Genomic DNA, 25659 nt, shown 5'->3' with positions numbered 1-25659 from the left:
TGCTGAGTCAAATGGTAGTTCTGTTTTAAATCTCCAAACTGCTTTCCACAGTAGTTAAACTAATTTACATTCCCACCAACAGTATTATAAGTGTTCCCGTTTCTCCACAGCCTCACCAACATCTGCTGTTTTTTGACTTTTTAATAATGGCCATTGTGACTGCGGTGGGATGGTATCTCATTGTGGTTTTGATTTGCATTTCTCTTATGATTAGTGACGTTGAGCATTTTGTCATGTTTGTTGGCCACTTGTATGTCTTCTTTTGAAAAGTGTCTTCTCATGTCTTTTGCCCATTTTTTAATGCAGTTCTTTGTTGTTGTTGTTTTTTGCGTGTTTAATTATTTAAGTTTCTTATAGATTCTGGATATTAGACCTTTGCTGGGTGCATAGTTTGCAAATATTTTCTTCCATTCTGTAGGTTGTCTTGTCTGTTTACTCTGCTAACAGTTTCCTCTGCTGTGCAGAAGCTCTTTACCTCTCATTTGTCAATTTTTTTTGTTGTTGCAATTGCTTTTGAGGACTTTGTCATAAATTCTTTCCTAAGGCCCATGTCCAGCGTGGTATTTCCTAGGCTTTCTTCTAGGATTCTTATACTAATTTAGATTTAATAGAAACCCATAGCAAGAAAAACAAGAAAAAGAAAACATTTTCAAAATAAATGTTGTTTACGTTTACATATTTTTAAATTCTCTCTCTTTTCCTAGCAGAGGAAAACCCAATCATTGTGAGACTGCAAACACCCGGGGAGCTTACTTGGGTTTTATCGTGGAGCTGCTCTGCCCTCAGGCATTTGGGGAGAAGGACTCTGGCTCAGGCTGGGATTTTAGGAGCCAGGTTGAGTGACATAGTTGGGCTAGGTAGTTTATAGCGTTGGTATAAAGATGAGATTGGGATACCATGAGCTGGGAAGATGGCTAGGGCATTCAGTCACTCCTGATTCAAGACCTCCCGACAAGGTTCCTGAGAAAAACCTATGTACAGGACACAGCCTCAGATGAGAGGCAAAATGATACTTTGTAACTAGCTGAACTGGAAGAGACATGGACAAGCCAAAACAATCTTGGAAAAGAACAGTTAGAGGACTCACATTCCCAATTTCAAACTCACTACAAAGTTGCAGTAATTAAGACAGTGTGGTTTTGGCATAAAGATACATAAACAGATCAATGAAATAGAATTGCAAGTCCAGAAATAAACTCTCATCTACGGCCAATTGATTTTCAATAAGGGTGCCAGGATGATCCAATGGGCGAAAGACTAGTGTTTTTAACAAATGGTGCTGGAATAACTGGTTATCTACATGTACAAGCATGAATTTGGATTCCTACCTTATACCAATACACAAAAGTTAATTGAGACTGGACCAAAGACTTAAATGTAAGACCTAAAACTACATTCCTAGAAGAAAACACGTGAATGAGGAATGACTGCTAATGGGTACAACGTTTCTTTGGGGGGTGATGAAAATATTCCACAACTGATTGTAATGATGTTGTACAACTTTAGGAATATACTAAAACCACACTGGACTGTACACTTTAAATAGCTGAATTTTTTGCTAGGTGAATTATATCTCAATAAAGCTGTTTAAAAAGACCTTGTGGCAGTGGCCTAGATGGATCTGGGTTGATCAGCCTGATACTTTTCTGTGAGGCGTGGTGGCTTGGACAGTGGAAGAAAAAGCCATCTGGACCATCTGCACAGTGCTGGATGCCATTGACCAGATGTGGATGCCTGTAATGAGGACTTGGAACGAGTGCCACTATGGGGTTCTAATTGGCCTTAATAAAGCAGAAGCTGCTGCCAAGCATGAGGAGGCCTTGGTAAAGATCTGGAAGTGCTCCTATGATGTCTCATCACCTCTGATGGAGCCCAACCATCCCGTCTAAGGCAACACCAGTGAGAATGATCAGCTACCCTCCTGTGAAAGTCTGAAGGACACTACTGCCATAGCTCTGCCCTTTTAGAAAGAAGAGATAGTCTCCTAGATCAAGGAGGGGAAATGGGTGCTGATTGCAGCTGATGGCAACAGTTTTCGGGGCATTGTTGAGCATCTGGAGGGTGTCTCTGAAGAGGCTTCATGCAGCTGGACCTGCCAGCTGGTATTCCCATTGTCTATAGATTGGACAAGAACTTGAAGCCCACCAAGCCCATGTAGTTCCCGGGGGGGGATGAAGAGACTGTGCATAAAGCCATGGAAGCTATGGCTATTGGGAGCAAGGTCAAGAAATAAAGGCCAGCAGATAGATTACTGTCCCAAGGAATGCCCTCTCTGCCCATCCCTTCCTCTGCACTTCTGCATATGTCACACTGACCATAGTCATTTTTTTTTTTTTTTTTTTGAGACGGGGTCTCGCTTTGTCAGCCAGGCTGGAGTGCAGTGTCACAATCTCAGCTGACTGCAACCTCCACCTCTGAGGTTCAAGTGATCCTCCCGCTTCAGTTTCCCGAGTAGCTGGGACAGTAGGAATATGCCACCATGCCTAGCTAATTTTTGTATTTTTAGTAGAGATGAAGTTTCACCATGTTGGCCAGACTGGTCTCAAACTCCTGACCTCATGTGATCCACCCATCTCAGCCTCCCAAAGTGCTGAGATTACAGCTGTGAGCCACCGTGCCCAGCCGTAGTCATCTTAAGTTGTAGCTGCAGATGGGGGACCAGTGGCTTCCATTTTCCTTTCAGCCATTGTATCTCCTACACCCACTCCCTTCATACAGCTGGATTGGAATAGCGTCTCTGGGGCATGGGTTCTCAGTCCACACTGAGGGAAGGCTTCTCTTAGCCAAGAGAGTTCAGTGGTAGTAACTCTAGGTTTTGCCAGGGCTATGTTTACTAGGGACCAGCTTGAGAAGGGGAGAGGGAGGAACCATGCTAAGGCATGACCAATGAAGAAGCAAGAAGCAATGAAGCAAGAGTGCCTATTTGACCCCAGGAGCCAGTCCTGTGCCCTTCTGTGGTTAGGTCACTGACTTGGGCGGTGGGGTTAGTCATTTCAGTGGAAGATAAATGTAACCTACATAGTAATGTTAAAAAAAATCAACTATTTCCTCCCTGACACCACAGAAGCTGGCTTTAGAAGGTTGGGATCAATCTTCAATTAAGTTTATGTGTTGCATTCACACATATTTATATATATAATATCTATATATAAAATATAGATATAATATATATAATTTTTATCTATATAAAATACAGATATTATATATAATTGCAACACATATGTGTACATATATGTTTGTAAAAGTAAATGCAACACAAACTTAACACATAATTCAACACAGAAACTTAAATTTTGTCTATATATGTATGTGTGTGCATATATTTGTGTGTATGTGTATGTATATACACACTATATATATACATATATATTATATACATACACACACACACACACACACACACATACACATACACACAACCACTTTGGGGTTTCTAGTGGCAGTTGAAATAGTTAGTCCCATGTATGGTCATCAGAAAGTAAGCCAATCCTCACACCAACATGGGATACGCCTTTTGACTTCTAAGGGTAGAAGTGCATTCTGCTGTATATTTTAGAATCCCTCCCCTGCCTTGTTTTGTGGCAGTGAAATGCCCCTTGAGCATGTCCAAATGTGTCTTTCACTGTGCCTGATTTCTTAATCGTGTTCTACTTGCTTTGCCCTGTCACATGGTCCCAGCATTCTTTTTCAGAATAACTGTACTACATTTTTTTCTAGTTTAGTATAACAAAGGAGTGATATGCAATAAAAAAGTCAAGATGATAAATTTTATGTTATGTATATTTTACCATATTATTTTTTCAGAGACAGGGTCTCACTCTGTCACCCAGGCTGGAGTGTAGTGGTGTGATAATAGCTTACTGCAGTTTCAAACCCCTGGGCTCAAGTAATCCTCCTGCCTCAGCTTCCCCATAGCTGGGACTACAGGTGTGTGTCACTATGCTTGGCTAATTTTTAAATTTTTTTATAGAGACGAGGTCTTGCTTTGTTGCCCAGGCTGGCCTAGAACTCCTGGCTATAAGCCATCTTCTTGCCTCTGCCTTACAAAGTACTGGGATTACAGGTGTGAGCCACTGCACCCAGCTTATTTGACCAATTAACCTTATTTTTTGTCCCAGTCACAACATATCTTTCTGGGTTTCTTTGATAACCTATATAGTTTTGCCTTTCACAATTAGGTCTTTAATCCATTGTAATCCATTAGTGTTTGTGGTATGGAGTAGGGACCCAGCTTTTTCTTTATTGAGCCAAATTTCCTAACACCTTCAACTAAATAATCCATCCTTTTCCCCATGGATACTTCTTGCATATGTAGAATGATGTGATAAGAAGATAACTAAGTCTCAGCCAGCATCTGGGCAAGCTAGGCCACTAGGAAAATATCAGCAAAGGGCAAAGGGGCCTAGAACCCAAGTCTTTCCAAGGCCCTGGTAGAATATGTCCCTTCCAGGCATTCATTTTTCCAGCTTCCTTTCTCCTGGAACTGAATTCCCTTCTTCTTCCCCTACTCCAGGGGAGAAGCATGAAATAAAGAGTAAGGAAAGGGCTTACCAGAAATAATTATGTTCAAGCAATCCTATTACAAATATCTATTCTCTTCCCACCTCAGATACACAGGCTCCAAATATCTTCAAAATGGAAAATGACCCACAGATACGTTACGTATAATAGATAAGTCTGGAATTTCCCAAAGGGTGAGTGGTGGTCACAGGGAGGGAGATTTACTCATTTGTTCAACAAATATTTATTGAGCACCTATTGTATTTCATACCCCGATCTAAACTGGATTGGGAGGTACAAAGGTATCTTAAGTTGGGTTCCTCCAGAAGGCTATGATAAGGATGTAAGTGCTGGTAGTTTATTTGGGAGGTGATCTCAGAAAGCATAGGTGGAGGTATGGGAAAATGAGACAGAGAAGGGAAGGGAAGGGAGCCAATAAATGATACTTTATTGACAGGTTACTGTTATTGGCAACTGAGGTCCAATCTTGCTGGGAAATCCTGGGAGTCAGTATAGACCATGCTTCCATGCTTTTCTTACCTGAGGGTAAGTGAGCTGGGATAATTATATAGCTATTTCCACCTGCCATTGATTGAAGGTTGCTAGTGTGAGGGGTGCAGGGGGCAGGTGTTAACTCCTTGGTATTTCCATCCTGCCCCAGTCTCAAGTATTTCCATCCCTTGCATGCTCCTGGGGCCAGGGAATGCCCTCAAACAATGCTTGCAGTTGGACACAGATGCTTGCAGTTGGAGCATCCAGGGCACATGTGTGGGAAAGGTGAGTGCCAAGGGATATGGGTGAGGCACAGACAGCATCGCCTACAAGTATCTCTTGTATACCTTACATGTTAGTGGTAGGGAGATGCAAGGTAAACTAGCAAAACAATGAGCAAGATGTTGTTAAATAAAGATAAGTATTATAAAGAAAACAAAATACAGGGTGCTGAGATGGGTGGTGCTGAGGGAGATGGGTGGTGAGGGGCTTATTTAGATTGGGTGATCAGAGATGGCTTTCTTCAGATGAGGTTTGAACTGAAATTGAGGGACAAGAAGGGAGATGGGGAGCAGGATAGAGTATTCTGGACCAACTGAACATGTAGTGTAAATGCTTTAAGGTTGAAGACCAGTGGGTCTGGTCGTGTAGTGGAGAGTCAGAGGCTAGATGGCAAGAACAAGGGATAGGCAGGGAACAGGTGATGTGGCATCCTGTAAGCCACTGTAATATGTTTGGAGTTAATGTTAAGTGCAATGAGAAGCCTTCGGAAGATTTCATGCAGAGAACTGACATAATCTCACGTGAATTTTGGAGAATCCTCAGGCTTCTGTGTTGTGAATGGATGCAAGACGACCAGCCGGAGAGCTACTGTAGTAATCCGGGTGCAAAACAATGGTGCTTGTCAGGTGTACTAGTCAGAAGTTGGGGGTAGGGGAAAGGATGGATATGATACATTTTGCAAGTAGAAACACTAAGACCCCATTAGATAGGACGGGGTAAAGGCAGTAAAGGAAGGGAAAATTCAAAGATAAAGTTTTAAGTTTGAGCAATTCTATGGATGGCAGTGCCATTTACTTAGATGAGGCCGACTGGGGAAAGAGTTTGGGGGTAAAGAAGCAGGCTCTTTCTTTGTTTGCTGAAGGGAATGTCAGATCAATGGTTTTCTTTTCTTCTACTTGAAAGACGGGCAGTACTAGATGTTTCCATCTGATGAAAATGATCCAGTAGAGAGGAAGAAATTGATGATTCAGAAGAAAGGAGATAATTACAGTGGTATTTTATGGAGAAGAGGAGATGGTACCCAGGACACAAATGGAGGGGTTTGTTTTGATGGGTGGAGCAAGTGTACTTCATGCCTTGTATGGGAAAGAAGACAGAGTATGCAACATTGCCTCCAAAGGGTAGATTTGGAGGTGGAAAAATGAAGACGGTCAAATATCTCAATGACGGATAAGACCAAGCCTTCACCTTGCTTAGTGGAGGATGGAGGGGGGACTGGTAAAGGGAAAGGAAGAAAGAAAAGCCATCTTCCCTACCCCACCCCCCCACCCCCCAGCTATCTCCAGGTGTTATGTGCTGTTGTGGAGCAGATAGTTAGGTTGAACAAGGATTGGATTGGGGTTTTGTCAAATGAATTAAAAAAAAAAAAAAGGAGAAAGGATCAAGGGGAGATGATATTTGCAAGGGGTGTGATTGTGATGGTAAGCCAGGGAATCTATGCCGGGTCATGATGTCTGTGAAAAGAATTATATGAGCTGATGCATGTAGAATTCTCAGAGCAGGACCTACAATATAAGTGTTGAAAAGGAATTAGCTATTTTTATTATTAATGTAAGAGAAGTGAGAAAATGAGGGGCAATGCTTGATAAAAATGTAAAAAGGCCCAAAGGATCTGTTGTTAAAGAGATAGTTTCCTAAGTTATACCTCTTAACACCTCTTGTGGGGATCTCTAACCAGAGGCCCATCTGGTGATGCTGCTGTTGATTCCTGTGGGACCAAATCCCTAGAGCACCATTTCCAGGTTACTACTGAGCTCTCATTAGCCCTCCCCTACCTGTGCAGGTGAGATCTGCCAGATGCTCTGCAAGTGAGTACGTTCCTAATGATTAGTTTTCCAAATGAGTCCTGTTCTGGGTTCTTCAGGTCTACTGGAATGGCATTAAGGAGTTTTAAGGAATCCTGTCGCTGCTTTTCCCAGACTAAAGCCTTTAGGCAACCTCATAAGTGAAAGGCACATTAACTTCTGTATTGGCCTAAGACAGTGGTTTAGATTGAGAGCACTGAATATTTAGGGTGTGTGTATGCAAATTCCAGACTGTGTTTCTCAACAAGCGACAATTTAGGAGTCTTGATTGTTTTCTAGCTTAATCATTCATTCCCTGGAGGCTGTAAACAGAAGTCTCTGTTTACATTTAAATTAAATTCCTTCTAACAGCACCGTGGTAGATAGTAGCTGAGGTGCTTTATATATCCCCAGGGCAAGACCATGAAAACATTGTTGTCTCTCCCAGGTAAAGAAAAATGGCAATTGATTTATATGAATTGTAATAATAAATGTTTGGCTAGATTAATTTCTGGATCACATTTGAGTGATGACAAAATCAAACCTGTCAGCTGGTGCTTTAATGATGACTGCAACTTAAACCTTTATAATGCATGTAAACTGCTAGGAGCCTTCCAGTTGTTTAAGTGGCCACAAGGGGGTGATAAAGGACTGCATACTTACAGAAATCCGTCCCCCTTCAATTTCTTCTGTAATAGCATCATTCACTGGGTACCCTATATTTCGTTTCGACATACTTCATCTACCAAGTGGGCTGTTACTGGTTCCCATTCAGTGTGTCTGGCCACTCATTTACTATTCTTCCTGATGCTAGTATTGGGCTAAGCTTTTCTGCGTTTTTTAACAAGTCAATGGCAGTGATGCACTAAGAGTGGATGTTTATGGGGGTGGGCCTTTTCTTTTTCTTTTTTCTTTTTTTTTTTAACTTTAATTTTGAGACACAGTCTTGCTCTGTCGCCCAGGCTGGGTACAGTGATGTGATCTCGGCTCACTACAACCTCCGCCTCCCTGGTTTAACTGATTCGCTTGCCCCAGCTTCCTGAGTGTGCCACCACACCTGGCTAATTTTTGTATTTTTAATAGAGATGGTGTTTCACCATGGTGGCCAGGCTGGTCTGGAACTCCTGACCTCAGATGATCCACCTGCTTCAGCTTCCCAAAATGCTGGGATTACAGGTGTGAGCCACCGCGCCCAGGTTGGCCTTTTCTTACTTCAAGGAATTATACCTTCTACCAAATCCTTGTCTGGTGATGTCTTCCCCACAAAATTTAGGCTGACATGGATAACCTAGAAAAGAGGATTTAAAATACTCACAATACAAGGAAATGATAAATGTCTGAAGTGATGGATATGCTAATCGCCCTGATTTGATTTTATATTGTGTACATGTATCGCAATATCACTTTGTATCCCACAAACATGTATATTACATGTCAACTAAAATTAAAAGGGAAAAATAAATTTAAAAATAAAAACGCCAGGTGCGGTGACTCACGCTTGTAATCCCAGTACTTTGGGAGGCAGAGGTGGGCGGATCACCTGAGGCTGGGATTCGAGACCAGCCTGACCAACATGGAGAAACCCCGTTTCTACTAAAAATACAAAATTAGCCGGGCGTGGTGGTGCATGCCTGTAATCCCAGCTACACGGGAGGCTGAGGCAGGAGAATCACTTGAACCCAGGAGGTGGAGGTTGTGGTGGGCTGAGATCATGCCATTGCACTCCAGCCTGGGCAACAAGAGTGAAACTCCATCTCAAAAATAAACAAATGAATAAATAAATAAACATTTTTAAAAAGTTCTCTCTCTACTTTCCAGACAGTATGTTGTTCCTTGCCAGTGGACTCGGGATGTGGGGTCTGGGGTCTGGCACCCTGGTAAGAATGGGTAAAGGACACATGGAGACAAACTCTGGGGTTAAAGCTAGCCTCCTTCTGGACCATTCTATAGACCTCAGGCCTTCAAAACCCTCTAGACTAGAACAGGGAGCTGCAGTTGAAGCCTGAGCATGAGGCCTGAGATCAATTAGATTCCCTGTGGGGGCTTTAAGCTTCTTTTGTGCCTTGAACGAATGGTGCCTATCTATATGTCATTGCTTTTTGCATGAAAAATGTCTGTAGGCTGTTCACTAGTTTGAGATGAAGGCACCTAGATCCAGCATCATGCAGCATCAGGGCCCTCACCCTCAGTTCACAGGTGCAGAGCTATCTATATACCAGAGCAGATCTACTGCTACCCGTGGTGGGTTCAAAATCAGACTGATGACTTACCAGGTAAGCCACCTGACCCATGATGGTATCCTCACAAGCCGATGCTGAGTTTAAATTGCCATTTCAGTTTTTTTTTTTTTTTTTTTTTTTTGAGACGGAGTTTCACTCTTGTTGCCCAGGCTGGAGTGCAATGGCACGATCTCGGCTCACCACAACCTCTGCCTCCTGGGTTCAAGTGATTCTCCTGCCTCAGCCTCCCGAGTAGTTGGGATTACAGGCATGCACCACAACACCTGGCTAATTTTGTATTTTTAGTAGAGATGGGGTTTCTCCATGTTGGTCAGGCTGGTCTCGAATCCTGACCTCAGGTGATTCGCTTGCCTTGGCCTCCCAAAGTGCTGGGATTACAGGCATGAGCCACCGCACCCAGCCTTAAATTGCCATTTTAAGTTCTCCCGTGTAGCTCAGAGAATCCCTAAAGTCATCTAACACAATAATGCTGGGTAAGGAACATTGGAGGAGTCTGGCATTCTCTCCTCTCATCAGTATTAATTCCACTCTGAATGGTTTTCCAGGAAGGAAGAAATATAGCCTAATCCTCTGATTTATGGGTTTTTTTTCCATGCTTCCATTATCCAGATAAAAAGGAGTTAAGTGCCTACATGACTATGTGAAGAGTGTTCAATGCTGAGGCCTCTTTATATAATTTTGCTCCTGCTTAATTCTAGCTGATTCCCTTGGCCCTTTGATCCCAGACAAGCACAATGTCACCTGGCTACCTCTTGCTTGTCAAGTGATCACAGTCCACAATTGAGGACTCTCTTGGATTTAGTACAGCAGGATCATGCCTTTGTTTCTCTCCCAAATGGACCTTTGGCTTGGTAAGGGGAGTCCTCAGAAACCCAGTGCAGCTGGTGTGTGGAGGTGGTCGAATGAGGTTGCCTTTTTCCAAGCTGTCATTACCCATTCCATTAGGTGGAGCCAGGCTGGTGGCATACACGTGACACACAGAAGCCTGCATTACAGCTCCATATTTCTCAAGTTATTTTGGCTAACTGCCATCATGACTGAAACTAGAACTGTCCCTTCCATATGATCAGAGCCACCCCGTTTCTGGAATGGTTAAGAGAACAGTTCCTGTTACTCGAGTTCCTAAGCAGGTTGATCAGACTGCTTCCATGGGGTTTCCTCGGCCTCAGGAGAGCCAGGACTGAAAGGTGGAGGACATTGCTGCTGGCAGCACTTTACTCCAGGCTATGATTCAACCAAAGGTCTTAACTTCCTAATGGCGTCTCCAAGTTTAAAAGTCTAGGGATAAACCTATTTGTCTTCTACTTGGTATTACGCATTGTGCACCCTGAAGTATAAACCACTAAAGAAACTGCAGATCAAGACCTTCCAACATGGAAGACACAGAGAGATATCCAGTTTGGCTACTGCCAGTTTGCTGCATCTCTAAGACATGTTATCTTTCCTCCACAGTTATACAATGCCTCCTCGTCTCTTTCTTGCTCTAAAGATTGGGACTGCCCCACAAGTTCAAAGTCCAATCAGGTGCTGGAACTCATAGGCTGAAGGGAAGAGAATCAGGAAAGGTGCTCTTCATGAAATCCAGAGGGAAGTTTTCCTTAAGCCTTTTAATCCCACCCACTTTGGACTCACACAGGAAGTGATTACTACAGAGCTTGTCTATGGGTCCCAGGATGAGGGGTGCTTTCTTTCCCATCTAATGTAAATTATTTTCTTGGCACTAGCTCAGCTCTCAGCAGATGTTATCTATTTAGGCAGCACTTGAATGTGGCTGTTAATATAAATTTCTGCTTTACCATTTCCACAGCACCCCTCAACAGGGTGCTACTATACAATATTACAGATGAAAAAGTAGGAGGTTCTTAGTAACTTGGAAAATTCTCCCAAACTTCTTGATCTTCTTCATCAAACTGTATTGATGTTTTCCAGAAATGTGCTTATCAAATTTGGGTCTATATTCTGCTGTATACTTCTTGTCTGTCTTACTGTATTGGAGGAAGGATGAGGTGAGAAAATAACAAACCTATTATTACTTAGTGTCTTTAAGAGGCAAACTTTGTGGGGGCTGATTTTGTTTTCCCAAAAACAGTATCACCAAAATATAGGCAAGGGCTCATTAGGGCTCACTGGCCCCAAAATAAGACTTTTTTTTTTTCCATACCATCCTCATGCAACTGTAGTAAGCTAAAAAGTTTGCCCATGCAGATGCATCTTTGCATCGGCTAAATGGTTTTAGTGGCGTGGCCCGTGCAACCAAGTAAATACTACTTAATAGAAAGGAGCCTGGAACTCAAGAAGATGAGCTGCAGAAATCTCTTAATTAAGAACTGCAAATTATATGTATTTTTAAGAGACAGAGTCTTGCTCTATTGCCCAGGCTGGAGAGCAGTGGTGCCACTTTGGCTCACTGCAACCCCCACCTTCCAGTTTCAAGAGATTCTGGTGCCTCAGCCTCAAGCAGCTGGGACTACAGGTGCACACCAGCTAATTTTTTGCATTTTTAGTAGACATGGAGTTTCACCATGTTGGCCTGGCTGGTCTCAAACTCCCAGCCTCAAGTGATCTGCCCGCCTTGGCCTCCCAAAGTGCTGGGATTATAGGCATGAGACACCGTGGCTGGTGGTTATTTCTTACACCACTATCACCCCTGGTCATTGTCATCTGTGGCTCTGGTTCACTTTGGTGAAACACATACCAAAATCATGATGTAGTAAAAGAAATTTCCTGGCTGGAATCTCTGGGCTGACACCCTGTCACTTTCTAGCACTCTTGGGAAATTAACCTGAGGCCCAGTGTTTTCCATCTGTAAGGCAGTGATACCATCAACCTACACTTGCAGGGAAGTGCCTGTGACTAAATATGCTTTATGTCACAAGACTATTACAGTATCTGGTACTTAGGGATAGACTTATGTTGGCAACTCAGTAACAACTGATAAGAACACAGAAAAGAACTCTATGTTCTAATACTGTTAAACTTCATACTCTTTAACAACATTTAATACTACAATCTGATAAATTCTTTGACAACTTTTACTTGCTTTGCCATGACTAGTGGCTCTGGCTGAATTTCTACTCCTGCTTCTATTCTTAAATCAGTACATGAAAAACACAAGCTACAAATAACAAAGGTTCTCTAGCACTGGATATAAGGTTCTCCTCTAAGCGCTGGGTGTAACAGCTGAAGCTAATCAGAAGGAATATATGCAGAATGAGAGAACTCCAATTAAGAAAGACAAAATGTGTATTTTACTTGCTTAGATTTGGGAGCATAATTGCTCACAAAGATTCATAGATTTTTTTTTATTGTTAAGCTGCAACGTACATGGTTTAATACAACAACAAAAAAATTTAATCAAGTGAAACGTAATAAACTGAACAATAAACACTCAAAACATTTTCCATTGGAAACATGTAAAGACAATATGAGGTTTTGTTACCATCTTACTGCAATTTTCTTATGTGTTACTAGTCTACATACCCCATGTTTTCTGTAATCATGCAGATGTGAATGGAAGTTTGAATGATTAAATAAATGAAAAGTCCGTTTACTGCAGGGAATCATTTCACAAGGCAGCCAAACCGGGTTTAGAGAACAAAACTATTCAAGAAATTCTCCACGTATTTAGGTTCATTTTAGAATCCATGAACCTTAAGCTGTTCCTCCTTTACAATGCCAACCTGTAAAATAAAATCTAATTTAGCAAAATAACTCTGAGAAATATAAAAATTCATTAAGAAAACATGGAAGAGTAATTAAAAAGAATCACTATCAACAGCTTACTGCAACACTGTTGTCTGTGGCATGCACTGCTGATAGCCAACAATTCAACACGTATTTGAATACTTTACATGCCAAGAAATAGCCTGTGTGTGTATATAAAGAAATGATCAGAATACTCTAATGACAAAATAAACCAGATAAAGGTCTTTGCTTTCCAAATAACTACCATGTCTTTATTTCACCTAATTTCCTTCATTCGTATGATTTTTTACTTAGTAGAAAACAAATCATGTTGCCTTTAAATACAATTTTAAAAGCAATCTCAAGGTTACACATAAAGCACCCAATCACTCACCTCCAAGAGAAACTGGCAGATGTTTTTTCTTTGGTCACCTTGAAGCTGAATAACCTCTCCGTATTCAGGATGTTCAATCACAGTACCATTACAGGCAAATTTCTGGAAAAGTGCATAAATATACAACAAAATTTAGTCAACTACTATGAGGTTTTATTTCACCGTATGAACAGAATTAGCCATTTCAGTAAGCTAGATCATATTTAGAGAAACAGATTTTGTCTCCTATAATCCACAATCCTTCCAAATTAATTTGTAAACCAGGAAATGATTTTATGTGTAACATCAAGAACTAAATATTTCACATTTAAATTTATTTAAAAGCAACGCGAATCTTCTTTTAAAATGAGAGACCACACTGGGAGAATAACTAAATATTTACATGTTAATTACAAAAATGAGAACAACTTTCTTGGTCTAGTTATTTTCATCCACGCCGATATAAAGGTGTGAATCATAATCCAGTTCAGAGGTGTGCATCAGTAACTCTAATCCTTTCTTCCTAATCCCTTTACCTTTTTGAAAGCTTTCACAAGTTTCTTTTTGTCATAATCATCTGCAATGCCCTGAACAGTAGTCAGTGTCTTTCTGCCGTTCCGTTGCTGGATTCTTATATGAATGTAATCCTCAGTCCCTGCCGGGAGTAAGTCGTCACCCTTAGTTGCATCAGCAAAGGGGTCTGCGAATGGATAAAAAAAAAAAAAAAATCCAAAGTAGAAAAATATTTTTTAAGAAGTACTTTCCAGAAATACATTATACTACCAATCCAGACAGTCATCAATGAAGGTTCTAGTGCCTTTGCTGTTTTTGCCGGTAGGAATGGAGATGGGGGTGGAGTATTAATAAAACCCCCAAGATACTCTCACAAAAAGAGAAACATTTGAACAGCTATGTCCATTGTAGAAAAACGCTGTTATAGATAAATAATGTTATCGTTCAATATGGTCCTCTAATGAGAAAAAGATTTAGAAAACCTTAATATTGTAGCCGCTATAAAAATGTGCGTCATCTCGATTACATTCTGATGAAAACATAAACATTCGAATACGCCCACCTTAATCATTTAACCGTAACTGTGCCTTGCCAAAAAAAAAGTAGATTACATATATATCAAGAGGCGTAATTTAACAAATTGCTACGCAAGCAGAGAAGACTGAACCACTGGCCAGTGACAGATCAGAGGCTTGCATCCGCATCTTTCCCTAAGTGCCCCCAGGAGCTGCCAGAGAACGGGCGCCGATCCCTGGTTTCCCTGGCCCGGCATACCCTTTGCAAGTAGCAGGGCCGATCTAGGAGTCCACGAAATAGGATCGCCAAGGTTTCAAGGGGCAGAAGCGGAGGCGAGAGCCGGGTCAAGGACGGGGCAGGGGGTGGCGCAGGGCCCGCGGCCGGGGCTCCGAGAGGAGGGCTCGGAGTCCGGCGCTGTCCTCGGGGAAGGGGTCGCCAGGGGCCCCGTCGCCATTTTCTGGGCGCCGAGACAAAGCCCCACTAGGGGTGCGGGAAGGGCAGAAAGGGGGCCCCTAGGGGCGGTGGCCAGGCGGGCAAAAGGCCGAGATGCGCGCCGGGCAAGGGAGGGAGGCGGCGGCGACGGGATCTTACCGAAAGATTGGAGGTTCTGGATAGTGGACATGCGATACTAGTGTGAGGCCGGTGAGGGGATAAAATTCCTGCGGGGCCCGCCCGGATCACCTTGTCAGGAGGCTGTAGTGGCGAGAAAACGGAAATAAATAAGAAAACGCTTCGCCCTGGGGTTGGGATTAGGCTGGAGTGGCGGCGGCGGAAGCCGGGAGGAGGCAGGAAGAGGCGAAGGAGGAGGCGGAGGAAGAGGCGAGGGCGCGAGAGAAGAGGCGGCGCTGCGGCTTCTCGCACAAAATGGCCGATGGAGACTATTTAGCCGCGCCCGCGGCCCCTCCCACGTGACCGTCCCGCGCCGAGCATCCTGGGACTTGTAGTTTTCTGGAGGCAGCAGAGCCCGGAAAGCCTGAGGCCGGGGGCGGCCGAGACCGCAATTCCCGTCACGGAGTGCGTCCTCTAGCGCGGGGCGGAAGACCCGCGAAGTGTTCAAGCGGCCGCAGAGCGGCCCAGAGTTCGCAGGTCTGGGGCTCTCTTCCCAGAGAGCTCGTAGGGGAGGACAGTCAAGGGACTCAAGCGTCTCTCTTGACTCCCCTTCTCTCGCTGTGCAGTGGCGGCGCCGAGGGGTCGACGCTCAGGGCTAATCTCTATGAGTCACCCTCGAGGCCCCGGGTAATGTAAGTAAAATCGGGGTGCAGGAACAAAACAAGTCCCCTTGCTCCGGCTTTCAACTCATTGGCCCCCGCTCAGCAACTACCTGCATTGAAATTCCAACCCCAGTTGCAGGAGCGGTGTTAGTCTCAACCAATACTGGAGATGGGAGCCTCTCTTTCCAGGATTGGACGGACCTCCGATTCCCTAGCACGGTGGATCTCAGACTAAAGCGTGTGTCTCTGGAGGGCTTGAGAAAACACTGATAGACCCCAGAGTTTCTGTTTCAGGAAGTCTAGGGTGTGACCTGAAAATCTGCAATTCTCATAAGCTCCTTGGTGATGCTGATCCTGCCTGCTGGTCTGGGATCAGGCTTGAGAATCACTGCCCAGCTTAATCCTGGGCCTGGCATCGAGTGGGGGCCAGGTGTGTATGAACAGAAGATACCAGAAAATCAGCTTGTCAGCTCATTTTGTGTGCCTCAGAAGGCCCAACAGAGAATTCAGGAAAGATGCCAGGTATAAGCTGAAGGTGAGCTCAGCAAATAGGTTAATTGATGGAGTCATGTACCAGACCGTAATATCTTCCTATCAGGTCACGCACAGAAAAATAAACCCGAGACTTTGGGAATTGGCTCACTCAGGCAGGTGTGTTCAATTGTCAAACTTGGTTGGCTTTCTGGAAGCAAAGAGATAGACTAAAATTTAGGGATTCTTAACTTTTTTGTGTGTGCCATGGCAATCCTGTGAAGCTGCTGAATCCCTTCTCAGAATAATGAGAAGTTAAGTTTTAAGTTCACAAAGTACATAGGATTACAAAGGAAACCAATTATATTGAAATTTAAAAAATACATTAATAACGTGTATTTCTTTATTAATACACTAATAAGATCTAGCAAGATTAGGTCTAATACTATAATTTCAAAAAGCTGATAAATGTAAGAGATATTTTGTGATGTCCGTAACATCAGAAATTTAATATGAAAGTATGTGTAACTTCTGTTGGTGCGAAGTGACAGGTCCTTCTATCACTATGATGTTGCCTTTATTCATAATGGAAAGAAATGGTAAATTTTGCTTAGAGGTTAATGAAAATGCAGATATAATCTTTCCCCATCCAATTTTAGGGATCTCCACCCCTGCAGTTTTATCCATGAGCCAAGGATCTGCAGACCGCAGGTTAAGAATACCTGGATTTGACAATCTTTTGTAATTAACAATGATGATAAGTGCCATTTATTTAGTACTTACTGTTTGCCTGTTACAAAGCTTATATATAACATTATTAATCTTCATAGCTATTTTATAAGGTAAGCATTACTCTATGCACCAGGTGTGGAAATGAAGGCTTTTGTAGGTTAATGCCTGAAAAAAAAATCAAATTCTTAACTCTCAGAAATCTAACCACATTTGTGGTCTTCCAGCTCTGGTTCAAATGGAAAACACTCTTCGTATCCCAAATTGAGGTGTAAAGTTTAGAGCTGGCTCCAAAACAAGGAGCATCAAAATATCTAAATAAGTGTGCTTTAAAGTAATTTTATTAGTTCAATTTTGTGCCCTATGTTAATACTCTAACACTCTAATTTCTAAATAATTTGTAATCTAGATAATGCATCTCTATTTGTTTCCTTTCTTTCTTAGTAGATGTACATGAGTATTTTATATTACTTTATTTCTCAGAAGAAGCCAAAGGTGATCCAGTGAAGAAAAAACTACAAACACAGAGAAATTAAAAGAAAAATTCCAGAAATCTTAGGGTTTCATGGTCATTACCCCTGTCAGGAGAACTCACTTTTCTTAGATTTAGTGTTTGCATCAGAAACCTTCAGGAGTGAGAAAAAAAAAAAAAAAGAAAGAAAAAAGAAACCCCCAGGAGCTCAGAAATCTTTAATCAAAGCCAATATGAATACAGATTAGATACAGTTGTGGTTCTTAAGGCTCTTCTAACTCTCATGATTCATAGTCTTTGTGTTTAGACCTGCAGTGTCCAGTACAGAAACCACTAGCCACATGTGGCCATTGAGTACTTGCAGTATAGCTGATTTAAATTGGGATGTGATGTAAGTAGAAGATATACAGTAGGCTTCCAAAGACTAAATTGTCTTAATTTCACCTATTTCGTTTTACCTTTTTAATGTAGCTACTAAAGACTTAAAATTACATGTGGCTCATGCTCTATTTCTACTAGATAGCACTAGTTTAGAGTGAAAGAATTTGGCCTGTGTGTAAAGTTATCATAAAAAGAATAAACTGAAGCATTTAAAATCTAGCATTTTTAGTTCTAAATGGTACCAGCCTAGGTTAAGGTAATTATTTCTTGTCTTAATTCAGAAAAGCATTTTAGATCACTCACAGAGAACAGTTGTGCTGAGTAAAGGAATTATAGAAGATAATAATTAAAAAGCACCTAAAGCTGAAGGTAGAACCCCAAGTCTGGTTCTAACTTTCTGATAGTTAAGACAAAGAAGAAGTCAGCTAGAAAATCTTGTCTACAGGATGAAAACATACCAGTTGCGCAGGAGGAATAGCTTTGCCAGGCCCTGAGCCACAGGAGGTATTATTCTTGGGCCCTCATAAAGGGAGCACTGTGATGTAGTGGAAGCATCCCTAGCAGTTTGCCCACAATGAAGGCAATGGTGGGTTTTTTGCAGCTGTTTCTTATATCTGCTGGTCATGAGGATGTATTATCTGGTTGGAAACTTGGGTCCTCATCCATCCTTAGGCTGCCTACCGTGGTGGATGTGATAATGCACCATTCAGATTTCCTGCGTTAGTGGGCATAACTGATGAATAGCCCCAGCTGCTATGCTCTGAATTCAGCATTGCATCCCGTTGAGGCCACACTTCCCATCAGCCATTCCTAGCCAGTGACTGAGCACAACAAAGATGCTACAGCAGGCCTGTTCTTGGGAGATGTGGAACTTCTCTGACAGGCAGCTCTGGCTCAAGGACTCTCCATTGGCCTGGCTGAACTTCCTTAGATTTGTGCTGAAGTCTAAGATTCTTCTAATTCAACCTTTCTTCCTTCTGTCCTTCACAGGCATTTCCCCCAATAAATTTCTTGCACATCGAATCCCATCTTGATGTCTGCTCCTCAAAGAACCCAAACTGATAAACCTGACTCCAGACTGGTTGGTAGACGATAAGTAGAAGGAAAATTCCAGTTTAAATAATTCTGGTTATTACTACAAAGCTTTTCCTCCAAACTGTAAAATCTCCTGAACTGTGCTGGATTTCATGAGGCTAAGAGAACTTCCACATAGCCTGCATGAAGGCTTAAGGCCATCTATGTAAAAGCAGGCCAGGCAGCCTTTTCTTCTCCTGAGTGTGTACCCTAAAACAAGCCCTTTGTATCTTGCATATCTAATCGTAAGAAAATGTGAACATAGGCCGGGCGCGGTGGCTCACGCCTGTAATCCCAGCACTTTGGGAGGCTGAGGTGGGCGGATCACGAGGTCAGGAGATCGAGACCATCCCGGCTAAAACGGTGAAACCCCGTCTCTACTAAAAATACAAAAAATTAGCCGGGCGTAGTGGCGGGCGCCTGTAGTCCCAGCTACTTGGGAGGCTGAGGCAGGAGAATGGCGTGAACCCGGGAGGCGGAGCTTGCAGTGAGCCGAGATCCCGCCACTGCACTCCAGCCTGGGCGACAGAGCGAGACTCCGTCTCAAAAAAAAAAAAAAAAAAAAAAGAAAATGTGAACATATTGAAGGGCAAAAAGAATGTTTGCCTAGTACTTTGAGCAGATATCCAAATCTCGCTACGGACAGCTTCTGCCCTCCCACAATTGGGAAGACCCCAGGGTCTCTTTACTGAATTAGTGAAATGGGAAATCACTATTCCCAAGTGATGAGTCAAGGTGACTGGTATTTCCAGGAGACAAGGTACAAAGAGAAACCCCAAAGAATGAATGTCCTTTGAGGATCATAACTAGTATTTCTCACATCTCAACTTTAAATGAGAGTTAAGTAGCTGAGAGTTTAAAATTACGTTTCCTGGCCACAACTGTGTTGTCAAGTGGTTAATAATGTGCATGGTATGAATAAAACAATTTAGTTGCTATCTCTGTGTCTAAAATACATGATTATTGAGTCAATGTTTCTGTAGAATGGATCAGAAGATCCACAGAAGAGAAAGTCATAACCTAGGGCTGTTTCCTAATATCATATGCTTTGTACTCTCCCACTTTCCTGGGAAAAGAGTAAGGAAGGTGGGTGAATGGGATCTGTATTTGTAGGCTCTTAGTTAAAAACGTTAATAGTGATGATGATTAACATGCTGACAATTAGCACATTATACGTGGAGTATCCACGGAGTATAATATTGAACAGAAACAAAAATTATGCACATGTTAAAGAGTCAATAGTTTTTCTTATTTTCAGAGAGCTTTTGAATCTAAAAGAAGAGTTAAACCAAGCTAACATGTAATTTATAAAACATATCAGAATAAGAAAATTTCAACGCCTGCGAGGTTGAAGACTAAATGGAGCTAACTCAATAAGTACGAGGAAATTTCCCTGACATAGTAACTCCCCACTGGTGATCTTAATTAGGAGGGAATGTGGATACATGGCCATGCCACATAACTTCTAGTCTCAAGGAAGGGACAGTATTGCATTCAAGTTTCTTCCCTTTCATTCTACCCTCCTGCTGTCAAGAACTGTGAAGGGTCTGAGATTTTTATCCTACTTGCAGGCTAACAGGTTAGCTTGCCACAGTTTCATGGGTACTGAAACTGAGACTCTTGCGTTAGAGATAGGCCTTTATTACTCATGGCAAAAGCAGTAGCCAGAGCTTAGTGTTAATGCTGGTTTCCTATGCCCACAAATCTAAGACCCATGGATTGGACCCAAGTCCAACACAGGTGGGTCTTGATTGATGCCTACACATGCAGTGGGTTGTATTACAGGAGAGGAACACTGTGCTTGTGGAGTCTGTTGCTTTTATTGTAAGCAGTAACAAGCTTGTCTTGGGGGGCGATATTTCCTCATCCCTCAGGGCTGCTCCCTGCAAATACAACTCTGAGAAAAGGCCAAGGTAAAATGTGGTCAGGGCCTTGCATTCTTGGCAAACCAATAAGAACATGGAGGCACCCTCAGGGCCCATGGTGAATTACCTCTCCCCAAAACTGCTTACTCTCCTTTCATGATGGAGTGTTGCTAATCAGAGGGGTAAGCTCTTGGGACATTCGATTGGACATATTTACTAGAGGACAAGGCTGTTGTATGTTGACAGGTCATGTACATAAATGCATCTCACTTTTTATCCCCTTTTCTCAAATACCTGGAAGTTCAATGGGGCAGACCTAACCACCTTCTTTTCTCCCTTTTATCTCCTGTGTCTTGGAGCTTTCTCATCTCTTCAGTTTCCCACCTCCCATAGAGCCAGCTGGTTCTATGAGTTAAGTTGGGGTTAGGGGACGGATTTGGCTTCAGAGGCCTCCAATCTTTGGCTTTATGTTCCAGCCCAGGTTTCCTAACAGCTCTGCATTGGGGTTTCAGTCATAAGCTTGACCTACAATCGTGGTATTTTTCTTTCCTTCACCACTGACACTTGAGAATTTATCTTCCTTGTGGACTTCTGGGGCAGTAGTGGCTTATGGTGCAATGTATGATTTGAATACACTTGGATCCAATGGCTTATTTATGCTTTGTATAGAATGTAAGGGTCTAGGCTTAAAAGTGAGATCTGGCATCATATTCTTGTCTAGCCATTAGTAGCTGTGAAAACTTTACCTCTCTAAGCCTCAGTCTTCTGTGAAAAGGACATCATAATTTATACCTTATAGGATTTTGTAATGAGTGCATCAGAAAATGTATCACAAGCACTTACTAAAGTGTATGGCACAGAAGATGAAGTTTATTGTTCAAAACCTTTTCCAGGAGTTGTACAATGAGAATGCTTGGAAGTGACTGATTCTGATGTGAGGTTGGGGCAGTTGCTAGAACATTATACATTTTTCTACAGAATATATATGGTGTTTCTCTTTTCATTTCCTGTGATCCTGTACTCTTGTGAAATCTCATTACAGCCCTAGTCACTTTGGTTCATTACAATAAAATTTTTCTTGGAATGGTGTCAGTCAATTTATGCAACTTGATTACACTGGAATAGTCCAGGAAAGGTGGATACAGAATAAACAACAGAAATAAAACCCCTTTGCTGCCACAAGATTTATATATATTACCCCCTTAGGAAAGGACAAGTATGTGCATGGTGGGGTGCTTGAAGCAAAAAGGCCCACCCATTGCCACTCTCTCCCTACATCCATGCTTACATATCCATCTGCTCCAGGGTAGATGCAGGATAGCGTATTTCCCCCCACAAAGGTTAAATTATGTCTGTTTTTCAGTGAGACATAACCTTGACATTGCCAGATCCATTTCTGGCAACTTATGCAACTCCCATCTAAAAATAGACATTCTTAGAATCACATCTGTTTAAATGGGAGTAATTTCAATCTTATTGAAATAAGTTTAGAAAATGTGTTTGAGTATTATTAATTGTAGAGCTTCATTGTGAATGAAATTGGGGACTTTTGGTTAGATGTTGATTGTAATCTCAGTTGACCTGGAGGTGGAACCTTCAGTCCTTTCTTGTGACCATAGAATGAACTTTAATGGTAGTATATAACAATATATCTTACCTACAGGCACATATTTCTTTAACATTAAAATAGTGGCTGCATCTTATGTCATTTACTCCATAATGCATTGCCAGCGTAGAACTGAAACATTAAAAAGAAGGTCACTTTAAAAAGAGGTCTTACCCCGCAGTTTTTCTGCTCAGTGTAAAAGCTGATTAAGCTTCTTGGGAGAGTACAGGAGGAGGTAAATTCCTCAAGGAGAGGGGGTAGATTGTTTTCATCATTGTAACTAGGGCCCAAAAATGCCTGTTCATAGGATGTGTTTAGTACATATATTTTGTACCACTTTACATACAGTATTAGAACTTGACAAACATGTACATCTACTTCTTTCCTCTCAGCCTTTTGTGTTGTTATACATTTTACTTTTGTACTACATCATTTTTATTTTGTTTAAAATGGTTAATTATCTTTTTAAGAGGTTTAATAGGAAAAAATTTACCCAAAAAGTTACCATTTCTAGTGCTTTTCATTTTTTGTGTAGATCCATATTTTTTATCTGGTGTTATTTTCTTTCTGCTGGCAGAACTTCCTTTGTTATTTTTTGTAGTGTGGGTCTGAAGGTGATGAATTCTTAAAGTTTTTGCATGTCTGAAATATTTTTATTTAACCTTCATTTTTGAAAGACTGGTTTTGTTGGGTATAGGATTCTATGTTGACAATTGTTGTTGTTGTTTTCTAATAGAGACGGGGCTTGCTAGGTTGGTTGCCCAGGCTGCTCTCAAACTCCAGGCTCAAGTGATCCTTCCCTGTTGGACTCCCAAAGTGTTAGGATTACAGGCTTGCACTATTCATGCCTGGCCTATTTTTTTTTTCCTCTCAGAACTTTAAAGTTGTGGCTCCACTGTCTTCTTATTTACATTGTCTGTAAACAATGAGAAATCTGCTGTCATTGTATCTTTGGTCCCTTGTATGTAAAATTTTTTTTTTCTCTGACTGCTTTTAAGATTTTTGCCTTTATCACTAGTTTTGAACAATTTGAGCAATTTGATTATTATGTGCCTTGGTGTAGAGATTTTATGTTTCCTGTGTTTAAGGGTCATTAAGCTTCTAGGATCTCAGTTATAATTTTCATCAAATTTTAAAAATTTTTCTCCATTATTCCTTAGAATTTTTCTGTCCCACTCTTCTCTCCTCTACTTTGGAAACTCCAGTTGCACATATTTAAGGCTAATTAAAGTTGTTCATAGTTCACTGATACTCTTATTTTTTTTCTTTTTTCTCTCTCTATATGATGGCTTTATAATATAAAAACTTGGCTAGGCTGAACTACATTTCACAGACTTTCCTTTCTTGTGTATTTACAGATTGGGTGGATCACAAGAACTAATCTTTCATGATTTGGAAACCGGAAGGAAAGAAGCACTTTTGTAGCTGACTTACCTCAATGACATGACCAGTGTCTGAGCCTACAACTGCGCTATCTTCCCTGGATTTTTCTTCACCTTTTCCTTACTCATGAGCCAGGTATGTGTTTTTAGTTCCATAAAAAAGAGCCCTGGCCAGGCGTGGTGGCTCACACCTGTAATCTCAGCACTTTGGGAGGCTGTGGCAGGCAGACCACTTGAGCTCAGGAGTTTGATACCAGGATGGGCAACATGGTGAAACCCCGATCTATAAAAAATACAAAAAATTATCCAGGCATGGTGGCATGAGCCACTATTCCCAGCTACTCAGGAGGCTGAGGTGGGAGGATGTCTTGAGTCTGGGAGGTGGAGGTTGCACTGAGCCGAGATAAGTGCCACTGTGCTCTAGCCTGGTTGACAGAACCAGAGCCTGTCTCAAAAAAACAAAAAAAAGAAAAAAGAAAAAAAAAATTACCATTCCACTAAGGTCAGAGGCAACAAAAAAAGACATGGATTTCAGTCTATCCTCATGGAGTACTAGCTCACGATTACAGGGTTTCAGCTTGCTTGTGATAGTCTTTTCCTGACATTCCCTTACTGACTGCTTTCCCTATGGACTCTATATCAGATGCAGAGACACAGCCTTACAGAAGCTGCTTAACCAACTCTAATAACCACATAAGCCAATTCCCTGTAACAAGTTTCTTTATATATGTATGTATGTGTTCGACTAGAGAAGCAGGACCAGTGTGAGGTATACAGAGGTACTATTCCCAGACTGTGTGCATATTGCATACTGATTCCCCTTCGTCTTTTAGGTGTTTATTTCCTAGGCTTCACAGTTTCCTTACAATTCCTTACATTAGTATTCTGCTGAATACATGGGGAGGACTAAAGAACTTTCCAGCGTTCCCTCTCTGTGAAGCCCTCTCCTCTCTAATATTCTGCTTGCAAACTCTAGCTGCCCTAATATTTTTGCACTCCACTTTTTCTACTTATGGAGTCTGCTGGGGGTCTGCCTGTGTTCCCTCTCTGCTGTGACTAGAACGTGTTCCCTAAAGTTTGTGTGTTAGAAGCTTAATCTCCAATGTAACAATATTGAGAGTTGGGACTTTCAAGGGATGATTAGGTCATGAGGATGATTAGGTCATGATTAGGGCATTAGCTCTGCCCTCATGAAAGAATTAATGTTGTTGTTATGGGAGTGGGTTAGTTATTGCAGGAGCAAGTTCCTGATAAAAGGATGAGTTTTGCTCCCTTCCCCTGTGTGCTCTCTTGCTCTTCTGCTTTCTGCCATGGAATGACTCAGCAAGAAGGCCCTCACCAGATGCACTCTTCTTGACCTTGGACTTCCCAGTTTCCGGAACTGTGAGAAATGAATTTCTTTTCTTTAGAAATTGCTTAATCTGTGGTATTCAGTTATAGCAACATAATATGGACTAAGACAGAAAATTGGTACTGAGAAGTAGGGCTGTTGCTATGAGAAATACCCACAAATGTGGAAGTGGCTTAGGAACTGGATAATGGATAGAGGCTGGAAGAATTTGGTGTAGCAAGGTAGAAAAAGCTTGGATTGCTGTGAATGGTGCATTAAGGGCAATCCTGGTGAGGGCTCAAAAACAGAGAAGACGAGAGAAAGTCTGGAACTTATTAGAGATTATTTAGGTGGTTGTGACCAGCATAATGAAAGAAATATGGACAGTAAAGGCCATTCTGATGAGGTTTCAGATGGAACTGAAGAACAAGGTATTGGAAACTAGAGCAAAGGCCACCCTTGTTATAAAGTAGCAAATAACTGGGCTGAACAGTGTCCGTGCCCAGAGGCTTTATGAAGGGTGAAAGTTAAGAGTGATGGACTAGGATATCTGGTGAAAGAAATATCTAAACAGCAAGTCCTCCATGCTGTGCATGGCTACTTTTAACTTCTTACAGTAAAATAAGACAGGAAAGAGACGATTTAAAGACAGAATTTATCGTTAAAAAGTCCGTATGCATTCTGTCCTGCCCTTCTGCCTTCTACTGTGGGATGATGCAGCAAAAAAGTCTTCACCATATGCAAGCCCTTCACT

The 25659-nt window shown here is 41.9% G+C and overlaps 1 protein-coding gene, 2 long non-coding RNA genes and 1 pseudogene across 3 annotated transcripts in view, besides 4 other annotated features; 3 read left to right on the top strand and 1 right to left on the bottom strand.

Annotated features, from left to right (window-relative positions):
- Positions 1677 to 2230, top strand: PGAM1P3 (phosphoglycerate mutase 1 pseudogene 3; annotated as a pseudogene).
- Positions 12016 to 12310: a silencer, noted in NCBI's record as "tiled region #12551; HepG2 Repressive non-DNase unmatched - State 17:Gen3'". NCBI's record gives its function as "represses a minimal TATA promoter and a strong SV40 promoter by Sharpr-MPRA in HepG2 cells {active_cell/tissue: HepG2}" and the evidence as "EXISTENCE:reporter gene assay evidence [ECO:0000049][PMID:27701403]".
- On the bottom strand, positions 12524 to 15241 carry EIF1B (eukaryotic translation initiation factor 1B). Its single transcript, NM_005875.3, has 4 exons — positions 14976 to 15241; positions 13892 to 14055; positions 13377 to 13478; positions 12524 to 12978 (listed from the first exon to the last, which is right to left on the bottom strand). The coding sequence occupies exons 1-4, from the start codon at positions 15004 to 15006 to the stop codon at positions 12934 to 12936; spliced, it is 342 nt and encodes a 113-aa protein (NP_005866.1). The 5' UTR covers positions 15007 to 15241; the 3' UTR covers positions 12524 to 12933.
- Positions 14831 to 14880: a silencer, noted in NCBI's record as "silent region_14230". NCBI's record gives its function as "represses an Ori minimal core promoter by ATAC-STARR-seq in GM12878 lymphoblastoid cells {active_cell/tissue: GM12878}" and the evidence as "EXISTENCE:reporter gene assay evidence [ECO:0000049][PMID:35858748]".
- Positions 15151 to 15510: an enhancer, noted in NCBI's record as "active region_19714". NCBI's record gives its function as "activates an Ori minimal core promoter by ATAC-STARR-seq in GM12878 lymphoblastoid cells {active_cell/tissue: GM12878}" and the evidence as "EXISTENCE:reporter gene assay evidence [ECO:0000049][PMID:35858748]".
- The window catches only part of EIF1B-AS1 (EIF1B antisense RNA 1), a 136554-nt gene continuing 126144 nt past the window's right edge, over positions 15250 to 25659 (top strand). The window contains exons 1-2 of the long non-coding RNA NR_033965.1: positions 15250 to 15625; positions 23552 to 23711. This is a non-coding gene — a long non-coding RNA (EIF1B antisense RNA 1). The remainder of the gene's footprint in view (positions 15626 to 23551; positions 23712 to 25659) is intronic.
- Positions 16137 to 18671, top strand: LOC124906228 (uncharacterized). The gene is made up of 2 exons (XR_007095876.1): positions 16137 to 18234; positions 18639 to 18671. It is a non-coding gene; the product is annotated as an uncharacterized LOC124906228 (long non-coding RNA).
- Positions 23024 to 24223: an enhancer, noted in NCBI's record as "MED14-independent group 3 enhancer chr3:40342216-40343415 (GRCh37/hg19 assembly coordinates)". NCBI's record gives its function as "activates an origin of replication core promoter dependent on BRD2, BRD4, P300/CBP and CDK7 cofactors, and independent of MED14, by STARR-seq in HCT116 cells {active_cell/tissue: HCT116}" and the evidence as "EXISTENCE:reporter gene assay evidence [ECO:0000049][PMID:35650434]".

Source organism: Homo sapiens, chromosome 3 (genome assembly GCF_000001405.40).
Source record: "Homo sapiens chromosome 3, GRCh38.p14 Primary Assembly".
Classification (NCBI taxonomy): domain Eukaryota; kingdom Metazoa; phylum Chordata; class Mammalia; order Primates; family Hominidae; genus Homo; species Homo sapiens.
The sequence above is the reverse complement of the archived record's forward strand: the minus strand, read 5'-3'. Positions and strand labels throughout refer to the sequence as shown.

What these genes read in the sequence shown, in the direction of transcription:
- EIF1B (NM_005875.3), bottom strand. Translation starts at nt 15,006, where the DNA reads ATGTCCACTATCCAGAACCTCCAATCTTTCG. An exon ending in TTGTGAAAGCTTTCAAAAAG is followed by an intron (nt 13,479 to 13,891) that starts GTAAAGGGATTA and finishes GCACTTTTCCAG; the next exon opens with AAATTTGCCTGTAATGGTAC. An exon ending in TCTGCCAGTTTCTCTTGGAG is followed by an intron (nt 12,979 to 13,376) that starts GTGAGTGATTGG and finishes TTTATTTTACAG; the next exon opens with GTTGGCATTGTAAAGGAGGA.